Source organism: Homo sapiens, chromosome 6 (assembly GCF_000001405.40).
Source record: "Homo sapiens chromosome 6, GRCh38.p14 Primary Assembly".
In the NCBI taxonomy this organism is placed as follows: domain Eukaryota; kingdom Metazoa; phylum Chordata; class Mammalia; order Primates; family Hominidae; genus Homo; species Homo sapiens.
In genome coordinates this window covers 146,245,474-146,272,820 of record NC_000006.12, presented here as the reverse complement: position 1 = coordinate 146,272,820, position 27,347 = coordinate 146,245,474, and the positions used below count along the sequence as shown (strand labels likewise).

General features: G+C 37.8%; 1 protein-coding gene across 8 annotated transcripts in view, besides 1 other annotated feature; it reads right to left on the bottom strand.

Moving 5' to 3' along the window:
- GRM1 (glutamate metabotropic receptor 1) overlaps nt 1-27,347 on the bottom strand; it is a 409,895-nt gene that overhangs the window by 164,781 nt on the left and 217,767 nt on the right. The window contains exon 1 of one of the 8 annotated variants that reach the window (XM_017010788.2): nt 1,272-1,411. The exons of the other annotated variants lie outside the window; for them this stretch is intronic. The gene's annotated coding sequence lies outside the window, so the exon portion shown is untranslated. Of the gene's footprint in view, nt 1-1,271; nt 1,412-27,347 lie in introns of those variants that run through there. 8 annotated transcript variants of the gene reach the window in all.
- Nucleotides 14,740-15,291: an enhancer, noted in NCBI's record as "OCT4-NANOG hESC enhancer chr6:146578666-146579217 (GRCh37/hg19 assembly coordinates)". NCBI's record gives its function as "activates a minimal SCP1, AML or CMV promoter by ChIP-STARR-seq in primed H9 embryonic stem cells {active_cell/tissue: H9 hESC(primed)}" and the evidence as "EXISTENCE:reporter gene assay evidence [ECO:0000049][PMID:30033119]".

The window sequence follows — 27,347 nt, the reverse complement described above, 5'->3', positions numbered from 1 at the left end:
ACTCCCTGTCCTGCTTTACTACAGGCACTAGCTGATTTCCCAAACAGGATTACCCTTAAAAAAATTATCTATTCTTTTTTGGTACTCTTGACCCCAGTAGAAATTCCCACAACCTTTTCACACAAGCCTCCTCAATTCTATCCAACAATCAAGCTAAATGAAACATCCTTTATGAAGCCTTTACAAATCCTCTTTGTCTCTCCTCATTGCCAAAATATTTGTAGTATTCTCATGGTGTTCCTAATGTACTGTATTGATCATAGATATTTGTGTGCATGGGAAATCCACTGGAATAATTTAGTAGTGTATTTATTCAGTAAACACTATTTATCAGTTCTACTATTCTAGGCACTATAAAAGACAGACTTTGAGAAACTCATTCTCGTAGTCTAAAAGGTCCCCAGTTTCAAGGATAACTGTTTACTTAGTTTCAGGTCCCACAACATAAATAACTTTGTATCTCAAATATAAAATGCAACCGATAATGTTTGCTGATTTGAAACCTATATGATAAAATAAATCTCAGCTAAAGTATTAGGAGATTATTATGTTCATTCATTAAGCATAATTTGTATTTCTTTAAATGATGAGCTCAAAAGAATCCCCAAGCACCCTTGCATGATATATTTTTGGCAAAATGGGCTTTCTTAAATCTTTTCTAATTACAGAAAATAGCCAAATGCTTACTTTATGTATCTATATCCATAAGGGAGGTATTTATGTGTATCCATAAGGGAAGGCAAAGCTAACTCTACTGTGTATCTGGACACAGTCTTGGAACACTGAAAACACTGATGAAATGCAGGAACGTGGAGGATTATTGGACAAAACTGAAAAGGAACTGCCATTTTCTTCAGTGCTGTGGCCACAGGCAGGAATACATACCCTGATAAAAGCTGCAAAGTGTTAGAAAAACATAAGACTACCAGACGTTAGAGATAATAAATTATGTTTGATCTGACCATTGAAGACTCATTCTTCTAATGGGTGAGTGATTTGGCTCATAAATCATTATGCAGCAATAGCTGTGAATTGTGAGATTCCTTTGAACATGGCCATTTAGTGGACTGTCCTCACAGAGAAAATTAGGTGGCTCACTTGGGCAGCTGTTCTTCACCCTTTTCTACAAACAAGGCTAGAAATTTTTAAGGTGACAGACTGCCTACATTTAAGAAAATGCAATTCTATGCTTACAAAACTTAATGACAGGCAAAGCTCAAAAGACTTAGAACTCGAGTTGGAATAAGGTAAATGTTCAAAAGACCACCTACCTCTCAGAAGCCTTTCTGAACTCCTAGGCCTCTTTCCCTCTCCAGGATTCCCTCAGAGGCCCCTTTGTCTCCTTTTCCACAGCCTCCTCCTCTGTCCACCTCCACCAGCTTCCTAACAAGTCTCTTTCCTGAGCCATAGTAAAACCCTCCTACCTCATTACAGTCTGGTTCTAGGCTCTGGGCCAGGGAGCCCTGGCAACCTCTCAACTGGATATCACTAGAGCTTACTTAAAAAAATGAAACTCTGGCCGGGCACAGTGGCTCACACTTGTAATCCCAGCACTTTGGGAGGCTGAGGCAGGCAGATCATGAGGTCAGGAGATCAAGACCATCCTGGCCAACATAGTGAAACCTCATCTCTACTAAAAATACAAACAATTAGCTGGGCATGGTGGCATGTGCCAGTAATCACAGCTACTCAGCAGGTTGAGGCAGGAGAATTGCTTGAACCTGGGAGGTGAAGGTTGCAGTGAGCTGAGATCATGCCACTGAACTCCAGGCTGGGTGACAGAGTGAGACTTCATCTTGAAAGAAAGAAAGAAAGAAAGAAAGAAGGAAAGAAAGAGAGAGAGAGAAAAAAAAAAGAAAGAAAGAAAGGAAGGAAGGAAGGAAGGAAGGAAGGAAGGAAGGAAGGAAGAAAGAAAGAAAGAAAGAAAGAAAGAAAGAAAGAAAGAAAGAAAGAAAGAAAGAAAGAAAGAAAAAGAAAGAAAGGCAGGCAGGCAGGCAGGCAGACAGAAAAGAAAATCTTTAGTGGGTACAATATTAAAAACTCTGCAATTAGGAGACTACATAAGTATGTTCCTCCCTGAAATGGTGTTCATGAAAATTAGTTTGTAGTTTCAATTTCCAAGTGGTTTAGGGCAGTTAATTTTTTCTTGGTCACCAACATTGTGACCAACTATCTCAGGTGTCACAAAAGAGAAAGTAGAGAAGGAAAGTTGGAGGAATTCAAACCTTGGGTTGGGGGTCATGGGGAGTTATCAGCAACTCCTGCCTTGGGGCCAGAGCACAACTCATCCTTTGGTGATTGATTTTTTTCCTATATTTGTTCTGAAAGCCTTCCCTATAAACATTAACTAGGGAGAAAAAAATCACTTGAAAGCAACATATCTTTCCAATGTTGCTCTTGAAATCCTGACATAATGTAGAAGATTCTTCTGTCTGAGGCAGAAGAAGTTTTAATAAAAGATTTACAGACATTGAACTGGATAAAACACACTTGCTGAGTTTTGCATTGTTTTATTTTCAAAATATTCTGAATGCTGATCATCTCTTTTTGAAAAATAAAAGAAAAAAGTGTTGATCCCTGAATCTTTTTTTAAGGAAATAATTATCACAAGTGCCTTGTTTGCTTATACACTCTCTCTCTTTTCTCTTTGGAGTTCTTGGAAATATGCACTGTTAAGGAAAAAGTTCAACCTACCTAAATCTAATTTTTCCAGCTAGCAGGCCCTTGTGATGGACAAAAACATAAAACCTTAATATACCATATGCAAAAAATATGTAAACTTAGGCATCCTCAGCATCATTTTGTGTCTGAATTTTATGCAAATTGATCCCCCCATTTCTTGTTTTTTTTTTTTATTTAAACATTACATTATTCCATTTAATCCTGTTTAGCAAGTATTTATTGCACACAAGCTTCAACCATTCCTAATGAGTTTGCTCACCATCCTGGTCATTTTTCTCTCACACTTTGTCCTCTAAAACAATGGTCCTCAAACTTTTGGCACCAGGGACCAGTTTCATGGAAGACAATTTTTCCATGGAGGTTTTCAGATGAAACTGTTCCACCTCAGATCACCAGGCATCAGATTCTCATAAGGAGCATGCACCCTAGATCCCTTGCATATGAAGTTTACAACAGGGTTTGCATTCCTATGATAATTTAATGACCCTGCTGATCTGCTGGAGGCCAGCTCAGGTGGTAATGCTTGCTCACCACTGCCACTCACCTCCTGCTGTGCAGCCCAGTTCCTAACAGCCCACAGATTGGTACCAACCTGAGACTGGAGGTTGGGGACCCCTGCTATAAAACATCTTGGTAATTGTCTTCTGAAACAACCAGCCAAAATCCAGATTCTCTTCTCTGTGAAGTGTGTATGTGAACTCCATTCTTTCTATCAGTGTTTTAAAGCTGTGCTAATTCATAGAATTTTTAGGAGGTTTAAATGACATATGAAGCATGAATCCTCTTATTAACTATAAAAGGAAGTGTAAATATACATTAGAGACATGCAAAGTTAGACACTGATTATTGAATTTTCATTCAAGTATAACATGAAATCTGGCTTGATGCTCCCTGTAAGAATGCAAATTGGGGATACTTATTTTATAGGTCAATTGATAAAATTATAATGCTATCATTTACTTAACATCACATGTACTCATGTCACCTGGTTTGCTTCAGAAGAAGCAGTCAGGGCGGATAAAAACAAGCCTCTTTCCTTAAGGAATACATATGTTGTTGGTTTTTCTGTACTTACTGATCTTGAGTACCTTTTGTAAGTCTAGGGAAAAAAAATTAGAACTCTGATGAAGAGGCTGTTCTTTTTCTATTCAATGTTCTTGGTGCCTTTGTCAAAAATCAGTTGGCTGTAAGTGTGTGGGTTTATTTCTGGGCTGTCTTGTGTTCCATTGGTCTATGTCTGTTTTTATGCTTTGGCTACAATAACTTTGTAGTATATTTTGAAGTCAAGGAAGTGTGATGCCTCCAGCTCTGTTCTCTTTGCTCAAAATTGCTTTGGCTATTTGAAGTCATTTGTGGTTCTATAAAAATTTTAGAGCATTATGAGTTTTAAGAGAGGATAACTGAAGTACTGCAGGGGCTGCAAGGTCAGAAAGGTCATATCCAGTTGACAATGGTAAAGAATCAGAAAAGTTCTATTGTAGGAGGTAGTATGTGAGCTGACTCATGGTGGTCAAGGATGATTTTAATAGAGTATTTTATAAATCTCTACACCAGAATTTTCATTTATCTCATTATTCAACAGACACTTACTGGGTGCCTAATACTATCAAGCATGTGACTGGCATTGAAGATACAAGTATTAATAAATACTTGTAATGAAGGAATGCAGGAAAGACAAATAAGTAAATGGATAATGATACAAATGTAGTCAGTATAGATAGAGCAATATTGCTCCTACCCAGAAGAAACAGCACCAGGAATTAAGAAAGCCTTTGGAAAAGAAGTCATGAAGGAGTGAACTTCTTAAGCATAAACATAAGTGGACATAATAGGACTCAGTGAGGTAAAGTGCTGAGAAGTGGCAATGGAAAGTTACTGTAGGTCGGGGGCTTAACATTTTTATATGTTCAGTCATTTTAAAAAATGTGTGTCAATTACTTACACCTTACTAAGTAAAAACAAAAATCTTGAGATAAGTGAAAACATGTCAAGTCTTGAGGAATGTGTTTAGTAGAGGTGGAAAGCAAAGTGGTTAGCAGAAGTGGTCAAAAAAGGGGTGAATTTCAAGAATGAATCAGAATTCACAGGGCTTCAAAAGTCTTGTTATGACCATTGAGGAAGACAGTGTGCCAATTCCTGAAAGACCTAGAGGCAGAAATATCATTCAACCCAGCAATCCAATTACTGACTTGTGATGGTTAATACTCAGTGTCAACTTGATTGGATTGAGGGATACAAGGTATTAATCCTGAGTGTGTCTGTTGCCAAAAGAGATTAACATTTGAGTCAGTGGGCTGGGGAAGGCACATCCACCCTTAATCTGGTGGGCACAATCTAATCAGCCACCAGTGAATATAAAGCAGGCAGAAAAACATGAAGAGACGAGACGAGACGAGACGAGACGAGACGAGACGAGACGAGACGAGACGAGACGAGCCGAGCCGAGCCGAGCCGAGCCCAGCCCAGCCCAGCCCAGCCCAGCCCAGCCCAGCCCAGCGCAGCCCAGCCCAGCCCAGCCTCCCAGCCTACATCTTTCTCCCATGCTGGATACTTCTTGCCCTCAATCCATCAGACTCCAAGTTCTTCAGTTTTGGGACTCAGACTGGTTCTCCTTGCTCTGCAGCTTGCAGACAGCCTATTTTGCGACCTTGTGATCGTGTATGTTAATACTTAATAAACTCCCCTATATATATTCTATTGGTTCTGACCCTCTAAGAGAACCCTGACTAATACATGAGTATATTACTCAAAGGAATATAACTCTTTCTATTATAAAGATACATGGACACATATGTTCATTCCAGCACTATTCACAATAGCAAAGACATGGAATAAACCTAAATGCCCATCAATGACAGACTGGATAAAAAAATGCCGTACATATACACCATGGAATATTATGCAGCCACAAGAAGGAATGAGATCATGGCCTTTGCAGGGACATGGCTGGAGCCGGAAGCCATTATCCCCAGAAAACTAATGCAGGAACAGAAAACCAAATTCCATATGTTCTCACTTATAAGTAGGAGCTGAGTGATAAAAACACATGGACACATGGGGGGAATAACACACATTGGGGCCTGTTGGAGGGTAGGGGGAGGGAGAGCATCAGGAAGAATAGCTAATGGATGTTGGGCTTAATACCTAGGTGATGGGATGATCTGTGCAGCAAACTACTGTGGCACGTGTTTACCTATGTAACAAACCTGCACATCCTGCACATGTACCCCTAAGCTTAACATAAAAGTTGGAAATTAAAAACAAATCCTGTTATGGAATTTGCTCTTTATCTCTACCACTTGGAAGGCTATTCAACAGGGACCTTGAATGGGAAGCCATCAAAAGATGGACACAAGGTGGTGATACTAGCAGAGTTGTTTTCTAGCCAGAGCCCTTCGTTAGCACGCGGTGAATGGATGGGAGCAGGGCTTGCTGTAAGGCTAGTTACAAAGTTACCAAGTTTGAACAAGTTACAAAGAGAAAATAATTGGATAAGAATTTATAGGGTTCTTCACTAGGACAGCGGGAGTGTGGTTGGAGATAAGTGAAGCTGGGAGATCAGGGAAAGAGGAGTTTCCTGTAGAACCTGGTGATTAATTAAATGCTGATATTAAAGAAAAGACTGAAGAACGACAGACAATTCATTCTTGTTGGATGATTAATTCTAGTGGTCAAAATATGATGGAACTAATTAAGACAAAAGGGTTCCTGGGAGATTGAGGGAAGGAAAAAAATGAATAGAAGAATGAGAATTGAAGGTATTAAGAAAACTAAAACTTTATCAACACCCTGTTAAATTATATTTAAGTTATAATTCAAAATCAAATATTGCATGCAAATATTTAAATTTTATTGTAAATATTATTTGCTCATTTCATGCTGGATTATTTTATGTTTACTAACATATATTGTAGTTTTAAAAGTTAACTCTCTAATATGTATTTTTTTTTTAAGACAGAGTCTTGTTCTGTCACCAGGTTGGAGTGCAGTGGTGCAATCCCAGCTCACTGCAACTTCCATCTCCCGGGTTCAAGCAATTCCCTTGCCTCAGCCTCCCAAGTAGCTGGGATTACAGGCACGCACCACCATACCTGGCTAATTTTTTGTATTTTAGTAGAGACAGGGTTTCACCATGTTGGCCAAGATGGTCTCGCTCTCCTGACCTTGTGATCCGCCCACCTCGGCCTCCCAAAGTGCTGGGATTACAGGCGTGAGCCACCACTCCCAGCCTCTAATATGTATTTTTTTTAAATAGTTAACAAAAATAGACACAGAGGTTAATGGAACACAATAGACAACCCATAAGTAAAGCCACATACAATGATGGTTGACAAAAATAAACAATGGGCAAAGGATGCCCTATTCAATAAATGGTGCTGGGAAAATTGGCTAGCCATAAGGAGAATGAATTTGGGTCCTTATCTCTCACAATATACAAAAACTAACTCAAGATGGATTAAATACTTAAATGTAGGACCTGAAGCTATGAAAATGCTACAAGAAAACCCAGGAAAAAGTCTTCTAGACATTGGCCTAGGCAAATAATTTTTGACTAGGCTCTCAAAAGCAAATGCAACAAAAAACAAAAATAGACAAATGAGACTACTAAACTAAAAAGTTTCTGGACAGCCAAAGAAATAAACAACAGAATAAGAAGACAACCTACAGAATGGGAGAAAATATTTGCATATTATACATCTGACAAAGAAATAATATTCAGAATCTACAAGGAACTCAAACAACTCATCAAGAAAAATCAAATAACTCTACTAAAGAGTGAACAAGGGACATGAACAGACATTCCTCAAAAGAAGATGTACAAGTGGCCAACAAATATACAAAAATGCTCAACATTACTAATCATCACAGAAATGCAAATTAAAACCACAATAACATACCATTTTACACTAGTCAGAATGGCTATTATTAAGGTAAAAAATCTACAGATGTTGGTGAGGATGCATGCAAAATGGAATGCTTATACACTGTTGGTGGGAATGTAAATTAGTATAACCTCTATGAAAAACAGTGTAGCGATTGCTCGAAGAACTAAAACTAGAACTACCATTTGACCCAGCAATCTCACTCCTGGGTATTTACCCAAAGGAAAATAAATCATATAAAAAGGATACCTGCAATTGTATGTTTATCAGAGCACTGTTCACAAGAGCAAAGTCATGGAGTCAACCTAAGTGTTCATCAAGTGATACCTGAATAAAGAAAATGAGGGATGTATATACCATGGAATATTATGCAGCCATAAAAAAGAATAAAATCATGTCTTTTGTGCAACATGGATGGAGCTGGAGGCTGTTATCTTAAGTGAAATAACGAAGAAACAGTAAATCATATACTCCATGTTTTCACTTACATGTAGGAGCTAAGCAATGGGCACACATGGACATAAAGATGGAAATAATATACACTGGAGACTCCAAAAGAGGGTAGGGTAGCAGAGGGATGAGGGCTGAAAAATTGCCTTTTGTTACAATGTTCACTATTTGGATGATGGGTACTGTGGAAGTCCAAATCTCACCATTATGCAATATGTTCATGTAACAAACCTACACATGTAACAAACCTACACATGTAACCCCCGAATCTAAAAAAAAAACAAAAACAAAAACAACAAAAAACTCATACTTAATTTTCAATTGCACTGAAATATTTAAATTCATTTTGATTAAAATTTTAATTAAAAATTATCTTCTTACTATTATACTGTGCATTAAGAATCTTACTGTCATGTTTTTATTGTTGGGCTAAACCTTTTATTAAATTTATGATAGAAATATTGTTAAAGTTCTATCATGTGAGCAATACAGTATACCATTTTCATATCTATAACTAAATTGGAGTATCTAATGACTCATTTTAGAACACTGAAAACACCGTTTGATTTCTTCTATAGGACAGTAAGCAAAATTTCCAAACCATACAGTCCTCAAACTGAATGTATTTTCTCTTTAATAGTAGCTCTGAATTTCAGAAATACAGCAAATGTTCAGTTGCAGCATCATGCTTTCCAAGACGGTGATTTTTATTTAGCAAAAATTGAATTCCTTGATTTATCAGAATTAAATGACTATTTAGGAACAAGAGCAGTATTAATATACAATTTTCATTAAGATGTTAATTTAACATTCATTAACTCTCCAATGAGCATGCATTCTGCAAAGAACAGTGTTCTAAGGTAATGCAATTGCTGTATATTGCCAACAGTAAAAGACTAGCACGCATTCTCTCAAATTGACTTTTAATGTCATTACAGCAAAAAGTGAAGAACCTATGCCTTAGCCTAGTTCCTTTTTTCATGAGAAAATTAAAGATCCAACTATAAATGAAATAGTTGATTTTTCTATAAATGTGTACTTAGATTTGTATAATAGATTAAACTAGCCATTCTGTTATTTTTCTCCTAAAACATTGTAGAGATTGTAGTAATTGAAATGCAAAATAATCAAGCTACAAAATGTTGCAGTGCTGGCATTCAGACAGACATAGAAAATATTGTACTAAAGCAATAAGCAAATGTATGCTTGTGTACGAGATAAGGATCTAATCTGAATTGCTTTTAAATTGCTATTTATCAGCGCATTGTTTACTGAATAATACTTCCCTGCTATTTTATAATTTTTTGAACATACACTTAGAATTTTATATGTAAAGGGCATAAAGAATAACATATAAATTACCTAATATCTCACCATTTAGAGAATAATAGCACTATGTTTGGTTAATTCTTTCCAATCTCCTAAAAACATAATCTATTTTCCTTTACAAAACTGCAATCATACTAATAATTTCACATTCAGTGATTTAGTTATAATTATATAATAAACTATTCCTCACATCATGAAAAATTGTTTTTAAATGTTTTTATGGCTGTAACAAAAATATTTTCTCCTAACCAATAGCTAGATATTTTATCCATTTCTAAATTTTTTTGTACTACAAATGACACTGAAGTAGACACCATTTTTCATGCATTTTGATCAGTATCCTGATACGTTTCTAAGAACAGAGTCAAGAAGGGGAAATACTGAGTCAAAAGAAATAAATATTTTAAAGGTTCTTAATACATATTGCCAGTTTGATAGTGTTATTTACATTCAGCAGCAGTAAGTGTGGTACTGTGAAGATGTTCATCTACTCACAGTTACCAACATGAGAAATACCATATGGATGGCTGTTTGAATCTTTGATAATTTAATAGGTGACAAATTGCATTAGGTCGTTTATTTAATTTGCCTTTGTTTATTATTAAATTGTTCATTATGAGTAAATATATATATATGTATACATTTAAATTTGGGGTTTAAACATTTACTCAACAAATATTTATCAATATACTTACTTTTAGATTTGTAATTCCTCTTCATGTCATTTGCCCACATCAAGGTTCCATATGTTTCATATTTGTTACATCATTATAGTTTGGATGTATATATGTGTGTGTATTGTGTTTATATATGTGTATATAGGTATGCATATACATACACATACACAGAGAAAATATAATATATACATGTTGAGTGTATAATATATACATTCTTATTTTGTTGGTTTTTAAAACATTTTGTTTATGATGATTTCTGTTGTAAACAGATGTTTAAAGAGTCAGTGTTATGAATACTTTCCTTTTTGATTCATGCATTACCTTGAAATATTTATGTATATTTTCATTGTTCTGTTAGCATATATATACATGAAGTAAATTATAAATAGAGACACACACATATAGTTTAATTTACTTAAGATACTTTTGGTATATGCTGTGAGATGAAAATCTAATGACTCCTAAAATCTAGTCAGATGGCGAATATGTTTATACAATTTTTCAGCAGGTTGTCAAGATAATTTTTTCTACATAAGATTTTAAATATTTTTTTTAACCTTTCTTCCACATGAGGACAACATCTTGACTGGGTGCAGATAACAACAAACTGTTTTTCACAAAATTCTTGGCCATTTTTACATTTTCTTCTATCATAAAAACCTGAAGCTAGCTCGGGTTTATACCTTTGTGTCTTTTCCTTCTTTTTTTTTTTTTTGTTTTGTTTTCTACTAGAATTTTTTATGTTTTGAAATTCCTAGATATTTCAAGAATGTGCCCAGGTGCCTCTCTTTAAATTCATTTCACTTGAAACATGGCGTGCCCTTTCAAGGGGGCTTTCCTTTGTAACTTTCTAAAACTATGCTTCAAATCATTGCTTCTGTTCTAATGCCCTGTCCTCTCTTGAGAAAATGACTATAATTTGTAGCTTACATTTCTTTTCTATTTTTTTCATATCTATAGTCTGCTTTTGCTTTACTTTATTTATTTGATTTTTTTCTCTGCATTTTAGGAGACCATCTCAAGCCCATATGCTAAAATTAGATTAAATTAGATCATCCATGCCAGCAGTTCTCAATACTGGTTTTTAATTCAAATCACATATGAAACTTAATAATAATAATAATAAGGCAGTTAGGCTTAGGGCTACTTTCCTACAGATCTCTAGGTTTTGGTCTATTCCAGGTGAGAAAGTACCTGTCAGATGCCAACTAGTTCTCAATTAAATTAATGTTAAATTAATGAAGATTTATCCAAGATTGACAATGGTTTACAGTCAGAATTAGTTTAGAAAATCTTGATTTTTTTTCTCCATGTTAAAGAGCATTTTTTGGGAAATTGAGAACCACAACATCTATCCTGTTTGAACTGGCACATTTAAACAGTTCCTTCCCTTCACTCTATGCTCCAGATTAGAAGATCCACAAAACAACTCCTCGACCAGGTTCCAAGGCATTTGGGTACTTCAGCCTACCCTCCTTTCCTACTCATTTACAATGTCACTGTGTCTTTCATTTCAGTCCCCATTGCATAACACCCACTTCTGCTCATCAACTCCAGACAGATCCTTCAGTTGGATTTTCTCCTTGGCATTTTATTTTTGCTTCATCCCTGAACACTGTCCTTCAGATTTTCCATAATTCCACGGTCTGTAGCTTGCTCGTTAATCCTTGCTGACTCCTCACTCACAGTACAGCCAGCTTGGTCAAACGCCCTGGGATTCCACTTGTTTTTTCAAGTAAGTTTATATAACAGCATGAATGACTAGCCAGGTTAAGCCAAAGTCCCCATTTAAAAATTTCAATTAATGGCTTTCACTCAATGTCTCTACCCCGGCTTTTGCCAAGCAGTATCTAGATGCTAAAAATATAGAGGTGAGCAAGAAAGAGAAGCTTTCTTCCCAAATAGAGCTAACAGTCAAAGGAGAAATAGAAAAATCAATTGAAACTCCTACACCTCAATTGCAAAAAAAAAAAAAAAAAAAAAAAAAAAAAAAAACCCAAATAACCTAATTAAAAAATGGGCAAAGGACTGAAGACATTTTTCCAAAGAAGACATACAAATGGCCAACAGATTTATGAAAAGCTGCTCATTAATCATCAGGGAAATGCAAATCAAAACGGAGATGAGATACAACTTCACACGTTTTAGGATGGCTACTATTAAAAATATCTCTTTTACACTGTTGGTAGGAGTGTAAATTAGTTCGACCACTGTGGAAGACAGTGTGGCAATTCCTCAAGGATCTAGAAACAGAAATACCATTTAACCCAGCAATCCCATTACTGGGTATATACCCAAAGGATTATAAATCATTCTACTATAAAACACATGCACATGTATGTTTATTGCACCACTATTCACAATAGCAAAGACTTGGAACCAACCCAAATGCCCATCAATGATAGACTGGATAAAGAAAATGTGGCACATATACACCATGGAATATTATGGAGCCATAAAAAAGGATGAGTTCATGTCCTTTGCAGGGACATGGATGAAGCTGGAAACCATCATTCTCAGCAAACTAACACAGGAACAAGAAACCAAACACCACATATTCTCACTCATAAGTGGGAATTGAACAATGAGGACACAGGGAGGTGAACATCACACACTGGAACCTGTTGAGGGGTGGGGGCCTAGGGGAGGGATAGCATTAGGAGTAATATCTAATGCAGATGATGGGTTGATGGGTGCAGCAAACCATCAGGGCACATGTATACCTATGTAACAAACCTGCACGTTCTGCACATGTATCCTAGAACTTAAAGTATAATAAAAAATAATAAAAATAAAATAGTGTCACTAACATATATATATATATAAATATATATATATATAAATAAGTATTGGTGAGGATGTGTAGAAATTGGAATGCTTTTACATTGTTGATGGGAATATAAAATGATACAGCTCCTGTGAAGAACAGCATGAAAGTTCTTAAAGAAAATAGATCTACCATATGATCTGGCAATTCCACCTTTGGTTATATATCCAGAAAAACTGGAATCAGGAACACAAAGAGATAGTGTATGCCATGTTCCTTGAAGCATTATTCACAATAGCCAAGATATAGAAACAACCCAAATGTTCATCAACGAATGAACGAGGAAAGAAAATGGGATATATACATACAATGGATTATTACTTGGCTTTTAAAAAGAAGAAACTCTACCATCTGAAACAACATGAATGAACATAGAGGGCATTATACTAAGTGAGATAAGCCATCACAGAAGGACAACTATTGCATGATTCTGCTAATATGGGCTATCTGGAGTAGTCAAACTCATAAAAGCAGAGAGTACAATGGTGGCTGCCACTGCCAGCGGGGCACAGGAGTTGTTGCTAAATGGGTATAAAGTTTCAGTTATGCAAAATGAATAAGTTCTAAACATCCAATGTACAACATTGGGCCTAACGTTAACAATACTATATAATGCACTTAAATTTTTTGTAAAATGGGCAGATCTTATTTTAAGTATTCTTACACAATTAAAAACCAAAGTCAGTGTGATAAGCACTGAGAGAGGAAAAACACAGTAGTACCTGAGATCAGGCCACCATCCTAGATTTAAATTTCATCAAAATTGATTGTCTAAACTAGGACTTGATGGATTAATAAAAGTAAGTCAAGGAAAGAGGTGGAAGGGAAAGCGTTCTCTAGGAGTATTAACCTTTAACCATGAATATGCCCAGGTGATGGGACCAGTCCAAATTTACTGGGCAGACAGCTCATGGAAGCTTAGACAGAAAAGTCTTTGCCAGCCCCAGGAGTACAGCCAGGCAAGAACTCTTCAGTATTCTAGATGGGATACAAAGGGCTTTTTCATGTATTAGCATTCTTGACAAGTCATTGTTCAGCAAATGTATATCTATTATTTCAATGCATTGAACAAGATGCTGCAGCTAGGATAGTAAGTAGGGTAGGTATGACCCCTGCTGTCGTGGATTTAGTGTCTTGCATGTATTAAGGTCAACTTCTAGGCTATTTGGTTCCAGTGATCTCTCTGGTATTCTCAGAGGCTTCACAACTGAGGTAAATTTGGTGAAACATTTTAACACATGGGGCCCCTGAGCAAACCCTCTGGCAGGTAAGTCAGGGATAAAATAAAGGCCCGGCACCATGACTCACATCTATAATCTCAGCACTTTCAGAGGCCATGGCAGGAGGATCTCTTGAGCCCAGGATTTCAAGGCTGCAGTGAGCTATGATCATGCCTCTGTACTACAGCCTGGGCAACAGAGCAAGGGCCTATCTCAAAAAAAAGGTGAATAAAATAAAATACATAGGAACAAAAGAGGGCAAGATATCAAGGAGACTTAGAAACAAAAAGAGGCAGAAAGTGAACTGCAATAAGGCAGAAAGAGGAAAGAATGAGCATATTTGTGGTTGATAAAGGCAAAGTGCCAGGAAAAAACCCTCTTGGGTAGAGCAGGCTGCCTACCTTTGCATTTAGGATTTTTAAAATCAAGTTTAGCTCAGTCATGTGCATATAGGCACATGATACATATTTTATAGGATGAATTCAGGAAAACGTGCACCCCAAAGCATTTTTAAAGTGCTTAGGAGCTCATTTTCAAAGAAAATTTTGCATGAATATCATTGCTGCTGATAGAAATCAGGCAAGTCCTCAAACCAGCATTTCAATGTCTTCAATTCTATTAGAAGTTGTAAAATCTTAAACCAGCTTCTTCAACCTGAAAACCTGAAGAAAATTGCTCATACAACAGTAACTGCTGGGCAGTTTAGTTAATTCTGCTACTAAAACCACAAGTATTTTCTTAGAAAAAAACTATTTTTTTTTTTTTACGGAAGAACAAACGGATGGAAAGTGTGTTCCGTGTGTATCCTGGATGTGTTGGTTAATTTTATGTGTCAACTTGACTGGGACATGAGGTGCTCGGATTAAACATTATTTCTGCATGTCTCTCTGAAGAGTGTTTCCCAATAAAATTTGCATTTGAATCAGGGGAATCAGTAGGCAGATTGCTCCCCAATGTGGGTAGGCATCCTGCAATCCATTGAGAGCCTGAATCAAAAAAAAAGATGAAAGGGGAAATTTGCTGTCTTCACCTGAATGCTTGAGCTGGTTCACGAGTCTTCTCCTGCCCTCATCTGGTTCTCAGAACTATACTGCCAGCTTTCTTGGGTATCCAGCTCGTAGATAGCGGAACATGGAACTTCTTAACTTTTATAATTACGTAAGTCAATTCTTTATAAGAAATTATATGTAATATATATATGTACACACATATAAATTATACATATATATATATATACACACATATTACACAGACAGACACACACATACGCACACACATATAGGTAGGTATGTGTTCTACTAGTTTTGTTTTGCTGGAGAATACTGAATAATACACTGACTACTCATTTCAATTTAAATCATAAAATACTTAGTGACTTAATGAGCACTCATTAACTACAGGACTCCCTGCTAAATACTCAATGCTACACAGCCACTATGGGGCTTAAAAACAAGAGGCTGTATTTCCTGTCCTTAAACAGGTTATGATCTGATTGTATAAGGTGAAAACCAGTCCCATTATAAATTTTAAAATAAGGATGCCTATATATACACTTATATGTGTCTACATGCCGTAAGAGAATTGAAAAATACATGCTAATGAACGAATTAATTATATCAGAATGGGGATAGAGAAGGCCTTTACTGAAAAGATGATAGCAGAAGAGATGGACTTAAGTTCCAGAATTTCAAAAAATAAAGAAGGATGAGAGACTATTCTTTAGGTGGAAAAAATGGCATAAAACAAAACACAGAGGCAGAAAACTTATGTGCTGTTCAGGAAAACATCTAGCTCATCTGGAGCATGGAGTAACACAAAAGCAGCAGTGGGGAAATTAGACGTTGCAGTAGAGGGCCATGAACACCCCTGGGAAATCCACACGCAATTGTGTAAATAACAGGGAGCAGCTTTTCTGGTTGTAAAGGAAACAATTTCGTGAGGACTTTAGGAAGATGACAAGCAGCATTGTATAGGACGGACCACAGTAGAGAAAGCCTGGAGTTGAGAATCCAATGGAGTAGGGGAAAAATATCAGTAAGTGTTGGGGTTTGAGAAGGTCCACAGGGTCACCACCCTTTTTTCTCTGCTCAAATTCTTCATCAACTGAAATAGATAAAGGAGATGGCAGATGAATCCAAAAGTGCTGAAGATGATGGCTTAGGAGTGCAACACAATCAACTTCCTAATATAGAGCCCTAGCCTTAGATAAACTTATCATACACAGTGTCCTCTACAAAATTTCGGGCATAAAGGAGGAGAGTGGAGAAAAAGGAAGATGGAAGGAGTTAAGCTACATAGGAGGACTCTTTCCCCAGACACACTGGGGGAGGAGTGAAGGGCCAGATAGAGGCCTAGGGTGGTATAGTGGAGGAACTCACTCTTCATGAATTTGAAAAATGTGTTCTTCCATCTGCAACAGAAGGGCCTCTGTTTCCCTGGTGGGAAAATGATAACTGACACTGAAAACCAGCCAAGGACTCTCTAAGCACTTTACCAATATTTTCTCATTTAACATTCAGAAGACCCTAGGATATGGGCTCTATTATTTCCATTATACAGTGCTGAGAAGGGTAGGACAATTAGGCAAGATGGCATAGCTCACAGTGGCAGATCCCAGATTGAACCAAAGTTAAATTATTTGCCTATTCTCTTCGACTCAAGCTGTATCCGAGCCAGTAGATGTAAGTGTATCTCGCCCCTCTACCAAAAAGAAGGTTGGTCAGCAGAGGGCTTTGGGAAATGCCTACTGGTTAGGATACAGCTTGAGTCAAAGCACCAGAATAGTGTCACAACAAGGAAACCAACTGAAACAAATACACATCTTGGATATTGTCATGAGAGACTCAGGGAAGAGTTTTAGTAGATTGAAGAGTGAATGCTTGATTAGAGACACAGGAATGAGTGGATAGTATGAAATGGAAGCAAAATGTACATACAGTACTTTAAAAAAATGTAGCGTGTGAAGAAAGATGGAGTTATGGAATGGTAGCTTGTGGGAACAGGAAAGTTGAGCAATCGTGTTCAGATAGTTTGTTAGGGCATCAGAGAACATTTGTAAAAAGAGATGATTTCGCCAGTAGAGAAGGCTGGTTTGAAGAAGAAAATGAAAGAGGACAAATTCAAGAACTTGGCTACCAGGAGATGCCAAAAGGAATGAGATCCAGACACAGGAGAAATGATACACCTTAAAATTTGAGGGATTCTAAAGAGAAATCTCAGGGAGGAAGGCTTCAAATGCAAGTTAGGGAAATCATCCCCTGGTTTGATAAGGATAGATCAAGCACTAAAGGTTTGAAGAGAGAGATTGCCACAGTTCTCCTAGGAAATGGGATAGGGGATCATTAAAAATGAAATAATTACAGTAAATTATCCAATTATATTAGATTGAAGATCTTTGGTCAAATGTATTATGAGTCTAATAATGCTTTGGTGAAAGACTAACTAAAATAAAAAATAAAGAATTGAGTCAATTATTTCATTAATTCAAGCCTCAAACCTCTAAACCAATTAACTCAACATCTTAGGCCAAAATATATGTTTGTACCAAAAATATCCAAATAGGTTTTTCAATACAGTCAAGATTAAGAAAAGGTGTGCTTAGCCTCAGGAATCTCATTTCAGGGAGCAACAGCAGATGTTTGTGTGCAGAGCAGAAAACTATGATATTTCAAGAAGGCGGTTGTAGTTTTGCTGAGGCTTAAGTTATCTCACATTCTTCATTTTACTATTTCTTTATTCATACCGTTTTTATTTATATGCCACATCTCTTAAAAGTTATGAAATTGATACAACTCTATTCTTCAGGAAACTATGACTAAAACTATGCCATCAGCCAATAAAATGAGAGAGGCTGCAGATATCTTGGTCATTCAGTCACTGACTGTGATTTTATTTCATGGGAGAGTGGGAGGCAAAATAAAGGGGGAAGATGATATAAGAACTGATATTTACAGTTTGCTAATATTTGGTACAATGTACTAATATTATATACATTATAACAAAATGTGTTCAGCCTGTAGATTGTAAACCATTCATAAGTTATGAAATCAATTTAGTGGGGCATGACTGGGCTGTTAAAAAGTGAAATAGAATAAAATAGAACAAAACAGAGCAACATATATGGTAAGAATAAGCTTGGTAAGAAAAGAAACATCTTTCTTGGTTATAAAGAAATACAAACATGCATATACATATGTGACTCCTAGGTCATGATGTAAAATGCATTTCTTGCTGTGGATTGTGATCAAAACACGTCAAAAGTCATCAATTTAATAAATCACTTTAAAGGCATCACTTTCATGTTTTTGTCTAGCAAGAATCCATTCTTCCTTCTCAGCATCCCAATTTCCTTTTGCAGAATTATTTCTGTCTGAACGTCTAGAGTCTTGCTGGGATGGAAACCCCAGGGCCTTCCTTCCAGTGTGGAAGCTGGAAGGGGTCAAATCTGCCAATTTGATACTCTCTCCTGGGACTGAGTCTCAAGCAGGTCACATAAAGAGGAAAAACAGGAACAGCTAGCACACACTCTTTCTTGCAGTGGCATCCAGACCAGTTTGTTTCAGCTATGAGACTGTTTCTGTGATTCTTGCTGCCGTCGTTTCTGCCCATTCTCTGGCTTCATGTCAATAATTTAAGTCCTGATTTCCTTCCAATAAATCCTATTTTCCTAATTAGCCAAAGTTGTTTATACTCAGAATCAAAGGACCCTCAAACTTATACATACACACTATCTAGTTTAAACCTCATAACTATCCTGGGATGTAGGGTTTTCAAAAAAAAAAAGTAAAATATTGTCTTATGAAGAGAAAAGTAAGATTCATGGTGGCCTGGTAATTTTGCCAAAGATTATCTCACAGGTATGGGATTTAGCCTGTATCCCTGTGACTCAAAGTTTATGTCTTTTCTACTGAACAATGCACACTGAGCTGCCAATAGCAGACAGCCATGTATTTCACATACAGAATAATGTTATGCAGAAGATTTGTCAGTGAATAGTTCTTATTTTGTTTGAGTGAACTAAAATCAACAATTTTCTGTTCACTTCAGGAAAAAGTTCAGGAGTCGAGATTTTACACAAGGTCTTCAGATTATGCACCTTGAGAAAAAAATACAGCTTAGGGTGTTCTGCTGATCTTTTCATTGATTTTAAGAAACAAAGGTCTATCCTACTAATTGCATTCCCTAACCAATAAACCAGAGTTCTGGAACTCTTAAGATATATAAAATGAATGTGAACGGCTTAGGAGTTACCCCAAGACATACATCAATGTTAACGAATAAGAAATAAACTGAGTAATTCAGCTGAACAACCCCATTTTTCATCAACAATAAAATTCAGCTCCTTCACTCCTCTAAATCTCCCCCCAAAACACGCACATATTCACAGAAAATCATTCAATCAATCATTTATAATGTTAATTCTTTTGTTACCATCCCTGTCCCTCCATCCTATAGTACAGTCCTCATCTACTGAAGCCTGGACTGTTGCTAATGCTTTTAACTTAAATCTCTAAACAAATCCTCAATTTCTGCAAATTTATGCTTCATATTGCTGCCGAAGGATCTTTATAAAAGCAGAACAGAGCATAATTCTCTATCACTCATGCTTAAAACTCCCAATGCACTTTCCACGATTTAAATAATAAATTCTAATATTTTTATTTTAATATCATACAATTTATCAATTTTTTTTTTGAGATGGAGATTCGCTCTGTCACCAGGCTGGAGCACAGTGTCACAATCTCAGCTCACTGCAACCTCTGCCTCCCGGGTTCAAGTGATTCTGTTGCCTCAGCCTCCTGAGTAGCTGGGACTACAAGCACACGCCACCACGCCCAGCTAATTTTTGTATTTTTAGTAGAGACAGAGTTTCATCATGTTGGCCAGGATGGTCTCGATCTCTTAACCTCATGATCTGCCTGCCTCGGCCCCCCAAAGTGCTGGGATTACAGATGTGAGCCACTGCGCCCAACCAATTTATCAATATTTTTAAACTTAAGGTATTCTAAATGCACCATATAGTTTTGTATCAGTGCTTTTGCACATGTTTTTTCAACTACGTAAAATTTCCACTTCTAACTTGTCCTGCTGGAAAACTCTAAAACTCTAATTTATCCTTTTTTAAAATTGTTAGTTTTTTGAGTTGGAGGTTTGCTCTGTCGCCCAGGCTGTAGTGCAGTGTCGGGATCTCAGCTCTCACTGCAACCTCTGCCTCCCGGGTTCAAACAATTCTCCTGCCTCAGCACCCACCACCATGCCTGGCTAATTTTCTATTTTTAGTAGAGATAGAGTTTCACCATGTTGGCCAGGCTGGTCTTGAACTCCTGACCTTAATTGATCCACCCGCCTTGACCTCCCAAAGTGCTGGGATTACAGGCGTGAGCCACCACACCCAGCCTAATTTATCCTTAAAACCCTAGTTTTGATGTCACCTCCCTCAGGAAGTCTCCCCAAATATTTTTCAAACATTATTAAAAAGTGAATCAAACCCTTATTTATTACCTCTGTTTTTTGCATGTATAATCTTTGCTTGTTTATTTAGTCAACAAATATTTTGCTGCTTACTCTTTTCAAGGCACTTTTCTAGCCTTTTTTCACTTTACCAGTGAATAAAATGAACAAAAATATCTAATTCTTGACAGCAAACTAATAAGGAAAAATAAGTAAAATATATAAAATGTTAGATAGTGATAACTTCTTAGAAGGAAAAAGAGGGATGTAAGGAAGTGTCAGGACAGAGGGTTACAATTCTATGAAGGTGGTCAGGGAAAGCTTCACTGAGATGTATTTGAGAAAAATCCATGAAGGAGGTGAAGGCATGAGCCCTGGAAATATATGAGGAAGAGCAATTCAGGCAGAGAGAAGTACAATGTCAAAGGCATCCTGGTAAGAATGTGCTGGGCAAAATCAAGAAAGAGTAATTGATTCAAGGTTGAAAGATGCCATCAGTGGAGACGAGGTCACAGAGGATCTGGGCATGAGCTTTGAATGAGATAGGAAGCCATTGAAGGGACAGAAGTAAATAAGGGATATGGTTGGAGTTGATTTATGAGGATCATACTCACAAATCTGCCCTTATCCGTGCGCCCAAGTCAAATGCTGAGAAGAGATTAGATGGACAAGGTGTCTTTACTTAAATGCCATGCTTCTGAACAACTGTGAAACACAGCATCTGCTGCTTTTGGCCTAAGGTAGTTTCAAGTAGGACCTGCCAGATATATATAGCAAGGCTGCCCCTCACTTCTAATATTTAAATTTTAGGTCACAAATAATTCAAAATGGAATAATATATGATCTACTTTCTCTAGGTCTGCTGATTTGTGAATGTGGCACTGATGTCTGAAAATGGAATGAATGCAAGGACAAACATAAAAGGACCTTGGGGTTAGAAAAGCACTATGAAAGAGGACTGGGAAAATTTGGAAGGTATTTTTCTGATGAAGCTTTAGGAACTTACACCAATTAAATTAGAGTGGGAGAAAGAAGGGATAATAGACATGGAGTCAGTATTTAAGATGCCTGATTGTAAGAGGACCAAAGAAGGGAGTTTCATAACATATTTTATGGTTTTAATGTAGGCAATTATCTGTCTGCAATCATTTAAATGGTCCCATTTAGAAAGAGATAGATGGCCACTAACGTTTTCACTTAGGCTTATTGTATATTCTTCCAAGGACCTTATGTGTAAGCCTGAAAATTAGGGAAACTAAAACCAGAACTTCATTAATCAAAGGATTGCATCTGGACTGAAAACTAAAATGTCAGAAACCTCGAAGTTCTTTAAGACATTTGTCTTGCTAAAATAGTCCCATCTGTCACCTTAGAACCAAAGGAAGTACAGGAAATTATGGTGTAATTTTTCTCACCTTTATGTAATTTTATAGTTCTGATTTATTTAAACATTTCCAGTAATATACCCTTAAATCTGTCAGCTACATTATTATCATGCCACTGTACCTACACTGAAAAGGTATGGGGTTCATAATAGAATGGGCTCTGGGACCAGACTCACTGGGTCCAATCCTGGCTTCACCATATGATGCTGGTCAAGCTGTTTTACTTATCTGTGACTCAGTTTTCTCCTCTGTAAAAAGAAGTATCCTGAGTAGGTAGTATCTTTATAGCAGTGTGAAAACACACTAATACAATTAGGACCAATTTATAAACAAAAGAGGTTTAATTGAGTCACAGTTCTGCATGGCTGGGGTGGCCTCAGGAAACCTACAATCATGGTGGAAGGCAAAGAGGAAGCAAGGACCTTCTTCACATCATGGAAGGATGGTTAGTGGGGAAGCACCAGACATTTATCAAACAACCAGATCTTATGAGAACTCACTCACTATCATGAAAACAGCATGGGAGAAACTGTCCCCATGATCTGGTCACCTCCCACTAGGTTCCTCCCTTGACATGTAAGGATTATGGTGATTGCAATTTGAGATGAGATGTGGGTGGCAGCACAGAGCCAAACAATACTATTCTACCCCTGGCCCTTCCCAAATCCCATGTCCTTTTCACATTTCAAAGCCAATCATGCCTTCCCAACAGTCCCCTAAAGTCTTAACTCATTCCAGCATGAACTCAAAAATTCAAGTCCAAAGTCTCACCTATGACAAGGCCCCTTCCACCTATGCGCCTATAAAATCAAAAACAAGTTAGTTACTTCCAAGATACAATGGGAGTACAGGCATTGGGTAAATGTTCCCATTCCAAATGAGAGAAATTGGCCAAAACAAAGGTGGCACAGGCTCCAAGCAAGTCTGAAACCTGGTGGAGCAGTCATTAAATCTTAAAGCTCCAAAATAATCTCCTTTGACTCCATGTCAGCAGGACACACTAATGCAAGGGGTGGGCTCCCAAGCCCTTGGGATGTTCCACCCCTGTGGCTCTGCAGGGTATAGCCCTCTCAACCCACCCCCTGGCTGCTTTCATGGGCTGGCATTGAGTGCTTCCGGCTTTTCCAGGTGCATGGTGCAAGCTGTCAGTGGAGCTACCATTTTGGGGTCTGGAGGATGGTGGCCCTCTTCTCACAGCTCCACTAGGCAGTACCCCAGTGGGAACTCTGTATGGGGGCTCCAACCCCACATTTTCCCTCTATATTGTCCTAGTAGAGGTTCTCCATGAGGTCTCTGCCCCACCCCTGCGGTAGACTTCTTCCTGGGCATCCAGGTATTTCCATATATCCTCTGAAATCTAGGCAAGTTCCCAAACCACAATTCATGTTTTCTGTGCACCCATAGGCCCAAAACCACATGGACACAACCAAGGCTTGTGGCCTGCATGCTCTGAAGCTACAGCTGAGCTGTACCTTGGCCCCTTTTAGCCACTGTTTGAGCTGGAACCGCGGGGATGCGGGACACCAAGTTCCAAAGCTGCACAGAGTAGCAGGGTCATGGGCCCATCCCATGAAGCCATTTTTCCCTCCTAGACCTCTAGACTTGTAATGGGAGAGGCTGATGTGAAGGTCTGTGACATGCCCTGGAGACATTTTCCCCATTGTCTTGGCTATTAACATGCAGCTCCTCATTACTTAGGAATATTTCTGCAGCAGGCTTAAATTCCTCCCCAGAAAATGGGGTTTTATTTTCTACCACATGGTCAGGCTGCAAATTTTATAAATCTTTATGCTCTGCTTCCTTCTCAAACATAAGTTCTAATTTCAACCCATTTTCTTGTGAATGCATGTAACTGAATGCTTTCAGAATAAGCCAGGTCACATCTTGAATGCTTTGTTGCTTAGAAATTTCTTCTGCCAGATACCCTAAATCATCTCTCTCAAGTTCAAAGTTCCACAGATCTCTAGGGCAGGGGAAAAATGCTGAAAATTTCTTTGCTAAAGCATAGCAAGAGTGACTTTTGCTCTAGTTCCCAATAAGTTCCTCATCTCCATCTGAGACCATCTCCACCTGGACTTTGTTGTCCATCTCACTATCAGCATTTTGGTCAAAACCATTCAACAAGTCTCTAGGAAGTTTCAAACTTTCTCACATCTTCTTGTGTTCTGAGTCCTCCAAACTGTTTCAATCTCTGCCTGTTACCCAGTTCCAAAGTTGCTTCCACATTTTACCTCACTCCTTGTACCAATTCTTTGTATTAGTCCATTTTCACACTGCTATAAGGCTACTACCTGAGACTGGGTAAGTTATAAACAGAAGAGGTTTAATTGACTCACAGTGCTGCATGGCTGGGGAGGCCTCAGGAAATTTACAATCATGGCAGAAGGCAAAGGGGAAGCAAGGACCTTCTTTACATGGCAGCAGTGGGGCAAGGAGTGCCAGACACTTATCAAATAACCAGATCTCATGAGAACTCCCTCACTATCACGAGAACAGCATGGGAGAAACCACCTCCATGATGCAATCACCTCCTACTAGGTCCCTCCCTCGATAAATGGACATTACAATTTGAGATAAGGTTTGGGTGGGACACAGAGCCAAACCATATCACAATCCAATCCACCTATCTTGACAGTAATTTATACAGCTTTTCTTGTATCTTTGTAACTCTTCTCATTCACCATGCCTAAGGGCTTATCACAATAGGGCTTTTTATAATGAAAGCAGCTACACTGGTATGGGTTGCTTCTGTAGGAACGAAAGAAGAAAAGGAAGGGAGGGAGAAAGGAAGGGAGGAAGCAAAGGAGGAAGGCTTACTAAGCAGAAAGCTTTTGTCTAAAGATCTAGTATTTCCCCCAGAACAGAGCATCCTTCCCAATTCTTAAGACCCAGCATCCAACAAAAGATTCCTAGGGAAACATCTAATAGAGGTTCTTTCATTCTTAGTACAACTTGATGAGGCTCTAAAATGTAGGCTGATTTTATCATATATGTATATATTATATATACTATATTAGTGATATAGCATACTGTAACATATTATAATATATATTAGTATATATTGTTACATGGTTATATTACATATAATATGTAATTTTATATATATATATATACACACACACACACACACACACACACCACACACATTTCCTTTTTTTTTTTTTTTTGAGATGGAGTCTTGCTTTGTCACCCAGGCTAGGGAGCAGTGGCACAATCTTGGCTCACTGCAATCTCCACCTCCCGGGTCCTAATGATTCTCCTGCCTTAGCCTCCCAAGTAGCTGGGATTACAGGCGTGCCCCATCATGCTCGACTAATATTTTTGTATCTTTACTAGAGTCAGGGTTTCACCATGTTGGCCAGGCTGGTCTTGAACTCCTTACCTCAAGTGATCCACTCGCCTCAGCCTCCCAAAGTGCTGGGATTACAGGCATGAGCTGCTGCACCCGGCCATATGTACATCTCTTAAACTGCTTTAACATTGATTCCTCTAAAGTAGCAGGCTACTTATTTTCAAGTTGTTTCACTTGCCTTTTTCTAAAAGCTGCCTCCCCGCTCCTTGTACCATGCAGCTGTATCACTAGGTTAGTGGCAGCCAGGTCACTAATGATATATGACCCTTGCCAGATAAGTGGCCCCACAGATGGGTATTTGATCCCAAGATGTAACACACAGCCTCCCTCCCCAGAGAATTTAGAATGAGGACTGAGAAAGTAATCTTTTCTCAGCAGCAGATTGACCCTACCTGTCTCATGTAAACACGGCTGCCTACTGAGGGCCGTGTGTTACACCTTGTGGACTGAAGAAGAAGAGAAACTGGCCTACAGAGAGAGGGAAGTATATTGCATGGGAGCAGGAATGTGAGAACATCCTATTGATACTGATGTCCCTCATACCAGTTATTTTCCTGATTCCTGAATGTGGCCTTCCCCCATATTATAAATTCACCATTTTCACCTCAGTTAGCTCAAATAGGTTTGTATAACTTGGATCCAAAAGAGACTCCCTTAATATAACTGGTTTCATCAAACTACAATGTATATCAAGAACCTATTATTATCCAGATACCTTGTAAATTCACCATTTTCACCTGTTAGCTCAAAAACTTTTATAACTTGGAACCAAAAGAGTCTCTGTTAATATATCTGGTTTCATCAAAGTACAATATGTATCAAGAACCTGCTATTATCCAGATACCTATTTCATGTATTGGATTTAAAAAAATAATGCAAAGTCTGCATTGTTTTATTGCATTGCATTTTAGATGACACATTTCTCTAGAAATAGCAGATATGAAACAGACTGTGATAGAACATGGTGAACTTCCCACTCTCAGTGAGAGTCTCTGACCTTTCTGTGGATTCTGTTCAAGGTATAGCTATTAATAAATAGTACTTAACCCTTGGCTCTCAGCATAATCTAGCCTTTGATCTTCTCTTGCTGAGAGTGTACATCCATAGACTGACTCCTACAGATCATTAGCTGTACCTTCCAAAGCTATTACAAAGAGCCATCAGCCACCTCACCTGGCTGGCAAGGTCCCCATTGAGCCCTGCCCCTCCATAGCAGCCTGATCTAGGAATCTTACCAACTTTCCAATCAAAAGAATCTGTCACCAAAGCTCTCATCTACAGCAAAGTACTCTGGTCAAGCCCTGGCAGTGTCATCTGAGCAGTAGGTACAGACTCATCTGTTGCTAAGTTGTTGAAGGCAAATTTGTCCAAATGCCTGCTCTCTGGAGTATAACTGCTAGTGATCGAGAATTTCCTCCTGGAATGTTACAGGCCAAGACTTCAAGCACAAAGAGACAGCACAAAGAGACAGCCCTGTTCATTTGTTGTTGTTGACTCTAATATTTGTAGAATTTAAAATTTATAAGCATCATTTAATTTATCTATATTTAGAATAAGAGTGTACATCAGAAGCTACATATTTTTAACAGCAGGAACTGTGGAAGATTGAGACAAGTTATGCTATTGAAACAGGGCTTGTAGAACACAATTTAATAAAATAGCCATTCTATCTTATTGTATTGCTAAGAGAAATATTCACAAGTCACATCCTTTGAAAGACACTAAGACCACAAATAATAGACAGTTGAAAATGAAAGTTCTTTCTTGTAAGATTTAAACAGTTGGTTTATAGCTATTAGAAAAGAATTTTGTTCCTTAGAGGGTTCTCAATAATATTTTACTTTTAACTATAATGAATAATTGTCATATGAGCATTAATCTTGAAATTATGAAGTGTAGGCACTCTGAGAAAATGAATGTATTCACTATATGTTTGTGGTGGGAAAATGGAGGTTTTGAATACTTAACTACTCTTTATAATCTTGCTATAATTATCTCAACCTGTATAAAATCTGATCATCTGTCCTTGACTTTTAAAACCACCTATTTCAATCTTTGCATCACTTTTGGTAACAGTATCAATAAATAGTAA